We start from the raw sequence: 8,048 nt of genomic DNA, 5'->3' as shown, positions 1-8,048 counted from the left end.
AGTGAGCTATGACAGTGCCACTGCATTCCAGTCTGGGTGACAGAGTGAGGCCCCATCTCAAAATAATAATTTAAAAAAGATATATATATATATGCATGCTTATATATGCAGAGAACCTCTCTGGAAAGAAGTATAGAAAACAATAAAACTGTGGGTAGTTCTGGGGACAGGAATTAGAGGACTGGGGACGGGGTAGGAAGGAGAACTTCTACTATAACCTTTTCTTCAGTTTGAGTTTCTTTTTTTCAAAAACCGTGTATGTGTATATATATGTGTGTGTGTGTATAGGTGTCTGTATACACAGTCATATGTGCCTGAATTGTGTCCCTAAAATTTATATGTTAAAAACTTAACCTCCAGTGTACCTCAAAGTATAACTGTACTTAAAGATATGACCTTTGAAGAGGTGATTAAGGTTAAAAGAAGTCATATGGGTGAGGCTGTTTAAAAAAATTTTTTTAAGCCTTGTTTTTTTTTTTTGAGATGGAGTCTCACTGTGTAGCCCAGGCTGGAGGGCAATGGTGCAGTCTTGGCTCACTGCAACCTCTGCCCCCTGGGTTCAAGTGATTCTGCTGCCTCAGCCTCCCAAGTAGCTGGGATTAAAGGCATCCACCACCACACCCTGCTAATTTTTGTATTTTTGCTAGAGACGGGGTTTCACTATGTTGACCAGGCAGTGGAAAGACGTAAGTGAAGTGCAGGCACCTCTAAAATCTCCCCAGAGCCTGCCAAATTACACTCTCTATTTTTTCCCAGGGAAATTTTAATGCATACCTGGGCATGGACCTGACTCATCGGCACCACGTATACTCACCTTACTTTGGGGAAGACCGAGAATGATGGTATCGGTGCCAGGCCTTGAGTTTTCCCTGCCACCGACACCTGCCGGGGCTGGGAGCCCCACCTGTCTCAGAGTCCTGCCTTCCCCAGACACTGGGGTTGGTGGGGTCCCCACCAGGCATGGGAGGCTCAAGGCAGGTTCGGGGTGAAGTGGGGGCCCCCTTCCTTGTCAGCTGTCCTGCCCTGTGGTTCCTGGGGTCCCAAGTGGAGTGACTGTTGCCTGAGTGGCTGGTGGGGAGTCTAGACCTGGCTGAAGCCTGGGCCCCAATGCCAGCCCAGATGAGGAGCCTGAGACTCGGGGGACAGCCCAGGCCCAAGCAGGCTGACAAACAGAAGCACCCAGAACAGGCAGGGCTCCAAGACCTCGCTTTTCCCATCAGAGCCGGGTAACCTGTCACTGGGCCCATGTCTCCTTCTCCCCATGAGTTGTGTGGGGCCTCTGAGCAGGGACCCGGGCAGTGGGCCAGGGCCCCTCTGATCAGCCTCAGCCTAATGGGGTGGAGGAGGCAGGGGCGGGTCTGGTGGGGACTAAGGTGGGAGGGGCACCTGCCCCTAGGAGCTGTGTCTCCCAGAGCGCAGTGTCTTCCCCAGTGAGGCCCGCGATGTCCATCTCCAAAGCAGACTGCTAGGATCTTCAAGTGAGGATCTAAGAAAACAGTCCGGGCCGGGCACGGTGGCTCATCCCTGTAATCCCAGCACTTTGGGAGGCCGAGAAGGGCGGATCACCTGAGGTCAGGAGTTCGAGACCAGCTGGCCAACATCATGAAACCCCCTATCTCTACTAAAAATACAAAAATTAGCCAGGAGTTGTGGTATGCACCTGTAATTCCAGCTACTCGGGAGACTGAGGCAGGAGAATCGCTTGAACCCGGGAGGTGGAGGTTGCAGTGAGCCAAGATCACGCCACTGCACTCCAGCCTGGGCAATAAGAGCAAAACTCGGTCTCAAAAAAAAAAGAAAAGAAAAGAAAAAGAAAAAGTAAACGGTCCGATCTCCCGTAGGTCTGATTATCAGGATGACATCTGGCTGGGGCAGTGGAGATTCAGAAGAGAATTCTAGCGGCCGCAGGGACACCGTCCCAGAGCGGCGAAGAGAGGGCCCGGGAGGGAGGCGGCTCTGCGGCTCCCCGGAGGAGCGGGGCCGTCCGCGGCGCAATGGCGGCCCCCGGTGGCGGTGACTGGAATGGGCCCCGCGCAAGGCCGAGGGTCAGGGAGTGCAGGGCGCGGTCTGCAAGGTGCCTTCGGTGCCCCTTTACCCGCGCGGGGCCGGGGACTCGGAAGCCGCGAGGTTGCCCTGAGAGCACCCAGCAGCTGCTCGCTCACGCTCGCCCCTCCCGCAGTCTGATCTGATGGTTGACTAGCTGCCCTCCACCCTGCCCCCTGCAACTTTTGCAGACAAGCCCCCAGGAAGCAAAAGAACATCGGCTACACACAAACATCAACAAAGCCCCTACTGTGTGTGCCTGGACCTCAGCAAAGGGCAAGGGAGAGGCAGGCTCCATCACCTCCACAACTTCCTGTTCCTGTATTCGAATTTATGTTCACTATATTTATCTATCAATACATTTCTTCTGTTTCCTATATGCAAGTATTCATCCTCATGTCGATCCTGAAAACGGGGTACCAACATCACTCCCATTTTACAGATGAGCAAACTGAGGTGCAGGAACGTGAATTTCACTAACGCTGTCAAGAAACGTTTGGAATTTGGCAGGGCACAGTGGCTCACGCCTGTAGCCCTAGCACTTTGGGAGGCCAAGGTGGGTGGATCACTTGAGCCCAGGAATTCGAAACCCCATCTTTACCAAAAAATATAAAAATTATCCAGGTGTGGTGGCATGCACCTGTAGTCCCAGATACTTGGGAGGCTGAGGTGGGAGGATCGCTTGAGCCTAGGAGGCAGAGGTTGCAGTAAGCCGTGATCGTGCCACTGCCTTCCAGCCTGGGCGACAGAACGCGACTCTGTCTTAAAACAAACCAAAAACCAAAAAAAACATGTGGAGTGGTGGAGACTGCATCTCAGAAGCCAAAAATCCCTGGCTTCCTGGACCAGCACAGCCCACTGACCAGAGGTGGACATGGGAAGGCGGGTAAGGAGAACTGCTCACCCTTTATTGCACCGGACTTCATGCCAGAGACCCCATACTGGGCATAGCTGGGGGCACCAAGGTTTAGAAGGAGCCACCGTCCTGCCTCTGGGATGCTGCTGTCCAGTTGGGAAGGGGGAACGGTCAGTGCAGAAGAAAGAAGATGGAAACAGCAAGGCCACTCCTCACAGCTCTCCCGGTGCGGGGGAAGGAGCCCAGCAAGAATTTCTGCTCCACCAAGGGCGGAAAGGAGGAAGCTCCCCCAGGCTGCGGGGATGAGCCTCGGGAGGTGGAGGGCAGAGGAGAGGAAAAGCCAGGGAGGAGCTTGAGGCCGGATGAAGGGGAGGCCGGATGAAGGCCACAGCCCTTCGAAGACGGACACTGGAGCCCCAGGGCTAGGGCTTTCTTTCTTCTTCTTCTTGCTAGGGCCTTCTTTCTTCTTCTTCTTCTTCTTCTTTTTTTTTTTTTTTTTTTTTTTTTTTAAGACTCTCGCTCTGTTGCCCAGGCTGGAGTGCAATGGCACAATCTTGGCTCACTGCAACCTCCGCCTCCTGGGTTCAACTGATCCTCCTGCCTCAACCTCCTGAGTAGCTGGGACTACAAGCACCCGCCACCACACCCAGCTAATTTTTGTATTTTTAGTAGAGACGGAGTTTCACCATGTTGGCCCCAGGCAGGTCTTGAACTCCTGACCTCAGGTGATCCACCCGCCTCGGCCTCCCAAAGTGCTGGGATTACAGGTGTGAGCCATCACGCCCAGCCGCGCTAGGGCCTTCTAAGAAATAAGGGGTGTAGGTCAAATGGGGGACTCTCTTGGAGCCTCCCGGGGGGGTGCATGAGTCCTACACGCTCCCACCTAGAGGGACAATGCCTCAGGCCATGGCAGGGCTGGGTCCCCGGTAGCCACTATGCGTCCTCGGCTGCCTCACTTCCCTCTCCAGGGTTTCGCCATGCTGGCCAGGCTGGTCTCAAACTCTTGACCTCAGGTGATCCACCTGCCTCGGCCTCCCAAGGTGCTGGGATTACAGGCATGAGCCACTGCATCCAGCAGGTGGCAGCCCAAGCCCAGGTTGGATCCCTCATTCCCCCTTTCCTCGACACAAACAGGGAAATACAGCTAGCCCTAAGGGGCTGGGCCCAGTTTTGGTAAACGGTCTTTGAGCTCTGGAAAGAAAACTGTTTATCCAGGCACCCTCTCTACTGAGATGACCCAAAAGCCATGGGCAAACACCACAGCAAACATGGCCTGTCCCCCTCCCATGGCTCAGAGGGGCCTTCTCCTCCCACTGCCACACTACATTCTCACTTATTCACTCAGCAACCATTTACTGAGCACCTGTTATGTGCTACACCCTGTGCAAAGTAAGATCTACACTTTCGGTATCTGCTAAGATTCAAACTTTCATCATTTATTTTAAATCTTTATTTACTTCAGGAACCACAATTTTGGAGAAATTATTATTTCCAGTAAAATGTGGATATGACATATCTCTTTGACAGCATCTATTGTGTTTTGCATTTTGTTCAACTGGGTGAGGAGAGGTGACTGATATATTCCACCTGTTACATACATAGAATATATAACATAATATATAATATACACATTAGATAACAACTCTCCCTTCTTTCTTTTTACATTGGAGAAGCCACATATTTACAGGGTTCAAAATAAAATCCTAACAGCATTAAAGCATTGTGGCAGAGACAGAGTTGACCAAACGTCCGTGGGCTCATCTCCATTTCCCAGGCTCCCCTACAGTTTGGTTAGGGCCTTGGGACTGGTTCTGGTCAATGGAATGGAAATAAAGTGTTCTCCTGGGACAAGGCAGCTAGGAGCTAGCCTGCTTCCTCTGTCTCTTCCCCTGCTGGGGCAATGAGGGGGCCTTGGTTCCTGCAAGGTGGAGGAGAGCTGCCCCACCCATAGTGGACTTCGTGGAAGTGGGAAATAGCCCTTCCTGGTTAAGCCACTGAGATGTCAGGGCTTATTTCTTATTGCAGCACAGCCTGGCCTAACCTGACTAATGCAAGTTAGACAGTGAAAAGTAGGCCTCCTCTCAGACTTTCAGTCCGCTCCCAATACAGGTACTGTTGCCACATCTTTGTGTCACTTTCCCAAAATGTTATCTCTTCTCTAGAAGCCTGAAGAAGACTCCCCTGGGAGCCTTAGGGATGGGCAGAGGCTGAGCCCTGCTGGCCAGAGCCCTTCCGCAGGCAGGTGGGTGCCCAGAGGAGCCCTGTTCTCAGTTACTGCTCACAGCACCAGACCTCCACCCCAACCCAGGTCTCCTGCGCTAGGGCCACCAGGGAAGCAGGTAGAAAATGGCATTTGACAGGCTCCCAAACCCAAGCACACCTATTAGAGAAGGAGCAGAGAGGAGGCGCAGCTGGAAAGATCGAGTGTAACTCAAGCCTCGCATTCTCCTCCTCCTGCCTACCCCATGGGGTCAAACTTGGATTTGAGGCCTGCCTGCAACTTGCCTCCTTTTCCGAATGTGTTATTTATTTATGATGAATAGAGCATGAGATGAAACTTTAGTTCCTTGAAGTGAACTGTCATTTAATGACTTCCTTTTCAGAATTTAAAACTGCTTCTTTTTCTTCTGGACTGTGAAAGCCGCACTTGCTTCATGCTTTTTTTTTGAAACAGGGTCTTGCTCTGTCACCCAGGCTGGAGTGCAGTGACATGATCGTGACTCACTGCAGCCTGGACCTCCTGGGCACAAGTGATCCTCCCAAGTCAGTCTCCTGAGTAGCTGGGACTACAGGCGCATGCCACAACGCCTGGCTAAGTTTTGTATTTTTTGTAGAGACAAAAACATGGGTTTCACCATGTTGGCCAGGCTGGTCTCAAACTCTTGACCTCAGGTGATCCACTCGCCTCGGCCTCCTCCCAAGGTGCTGGGATTACAGGCATGAGCCACCACATCCAGCAGCTTCATGCTGTAAAAAAAATAAACCCAAATCACAAAATACAGAAACATACAAAGGAAAATAATTAAGATGACACATAATCCATCACCCAAACGTGACCACTGCAACATCAGGGGTTGTGGTCCTTGCAGATTATTCTCTACATAGATAAAAACCTGTTGCTATGCTCGAGGGCCTTTTTCTTGAACCAAAATAAGAACAAATGATATTTTGTTTTTAACTTTTTTTTTTCTAATAAAATGGATGTGTTTCCAGGTTAACAACTATAGATCTATATTGTCAGGTTTGGTTTGGTTTGGTTTGAAAACTACTTAGTATTTTGCTGCTAGAAGAAGTCCACCAAATAGATTTTGGAATTGTCGTAATTTTTTTAATGTCCTCATTTTTTTTTTTTGGAGCATGGGACTACAGGCTAAAAATTTAAATATAAAATTTAAAAAAAAGTATTCTGGTAAGTAAACACTGTTTAGTATTAAACTTCGATGAACTTGTTTTTCACTTTAGTTATATTGACCTGGTTTTTCTTTGAACTCTCACAAGAATGTAAGCAATATTTATACTTTGTTTACTTATTTATTTATTTTTTTGAGACAGAGTTTTGCTTTTGTTGCTCAGGCTAGAGTGCAATGGCGAAGTCTTGGCTCACTGCAACCTCCACCTCCTGGGTTCAAGCGATCCTCCTGCCTCAGCCTCCCAAGTAGCTGGGATTACAGGCGCCCACCACCATGCCTGGGTAATTTTTGTATTTTTAGGAGAGACGGAGTTTCACCATGTTGGCCAGGCTGGTCTCGAACTCCTGACCTCCGGTGATCCACCCGTCTTGGCCTCCCAAAGTGCTGGGATTATAGGCATGAGCCACCGTGCCCGGCCAACATTTCTATTTTAAAAATGCTTTTTTTCTTAATGTGGTAGATTCCTGGGAGGTGATTATATTATCTCCTTTATACCTTTTGTTATAAGTTAAATATTTACTAATAGTGTTTTGAAACCACTGAAATAAATACAATTAGTGAGCCACCACGCCCAGCCAAGGGGGGATATTAATTCAGATTCTTCCTATGCTTTTTATGTGTTCAGTTGCTAAAACATAAAATTTGCAACTTATTTAAGGATGTTGACGTAAATATTTGAACTTTAAAACTTTTTCTACTTTCAAAGGCATGTGTGTGTGCATGTGTGTGTCAGTGTGTGTGTCTCTGTGTGTGTCTGTGTGTGCATGTATGTCTGTTTGTGTGTGTCTGTGTATGCATGTGTGTGTCTGTGTGTGCATGTGTGTGGGTCGGTGTGTGTCTGTGTGTGTCAGTGTGTGTGTCTGTGTGTGCATGTGTGTGTGTTGGTGTGTGTGTCGTGTGTGCATGTGTGTGTGTCTGTGTGTGTGTCGGTGTGTGTCGGGGTGTGTGTGTGTGTGTGCATGTGTTTTTAAACAGCATCTCCCCTTTGTTGCTCAGGCTAAAGAGCAGTGGCACAATCATAGCTCAATGAAGCCTCAGCCTCCCAAGTAGCTAAGACTGCAGGTGTGAGCCACCATACCCAGCTAATTTTTAAATGTTTTGTAGAGACGGGGTCTCACTATGTTGCCCAGGCTGGTTTCAAATTCCTAGCCTCAAGCAATCCTCCTGCCTCGGCTTCCCAAAGTGCTGGGATTACAAGAGTGTGCCACTGCATGCAGCCCCAAAGGCCCTGCTTTAACAATCTGGTCCTTATTTGAAAATAAAGCAATTTGTAAATAAACTATTGGAAATCCAGGATAATGGAATCAGGCTCTTTGCCTTTATTTTTTATTTTATTTATTTATTTTTTATTTGAGACAGAGTTTCACTCTTGATGCCCAGGCTGGAGTGCAATGGCACGATTTTGGCTCACTACAACCTCCACCTCCCAGGTTCAAGCAATTCTCCTGCCTCAGCCTCCTAACTAGCTGGGATTACAGGCATGAGCCACCATGCCCAGATAATTTTGTATTTTTAGTAGAGACAGGGTTTCACCATGTTGGCCAGGTTGGTTTTGAACTCCTGACCTCAGATGATCCACCCACCTCGGCCTCCTAAAGTGCTGGGATTACAGGCGTGAGCCACCACACCCGGCCCTTCTTTGTCTTTAATGCTAAGACAGTCTGGCTTCAAAATAAATATTTTAAGAACAAACCAGATGAACAAATTGATGATTGGGGACAGAAAATCTCCCCAAAGCT

The 8,048-nt window shown here is 49.1% G+C and overlaps 2 annotated features.

Annotated features, from left to right (window-relative positions):
- Positions 1,884 to 2,133: a silencer, noted in NCBI's record as "silent region_3698". NCBI's record gives its function as "represses an Ori minimal core promoter by ATAC-STARR-seq in GM12878 lymphoblastoid cells {active_cell/tissue: GM12878}" and the evidence as "EXISTENCE:reporter gene assay evidence [ECO:0000049][PMID:35858748]".
- Positions 1,941 to 2,111: a silencer, noted in NCBI's record as "fragment chr11:69500700-69500870 (GRCh37/hg19 assembly coordinates)". NCBI's record gives its function as "represses an EF-1alpha promoter that drives an FKBP-Casp9 reporter gene in an ReSE screen in HepG2 liver carcinoma cells {active_cell/tissue: HepG2}" and the evidence as "EXISTENCE:reporter gene assay evidence [ECO:0000049][PMID:32094911]".

This window comes from Homo sapiens, chromosome 11 (assembly GCF_000001405.40).
Source record: "Homo sapiens chromosome 11, GRCh38.p14 Primary Assembly".
NCBI classification, from domain to species: domain Eukaryota; kingdom Metazoa; phylum Chordata; class Mammalia; order Primates; family Hominidae; genus Homo; species Homo sapiens.
The sequence above is the reverse complement of the archived record's forward strand: the minus strand, read 5'-3'. Positions and strand labels throughout refer to the sequence as shown.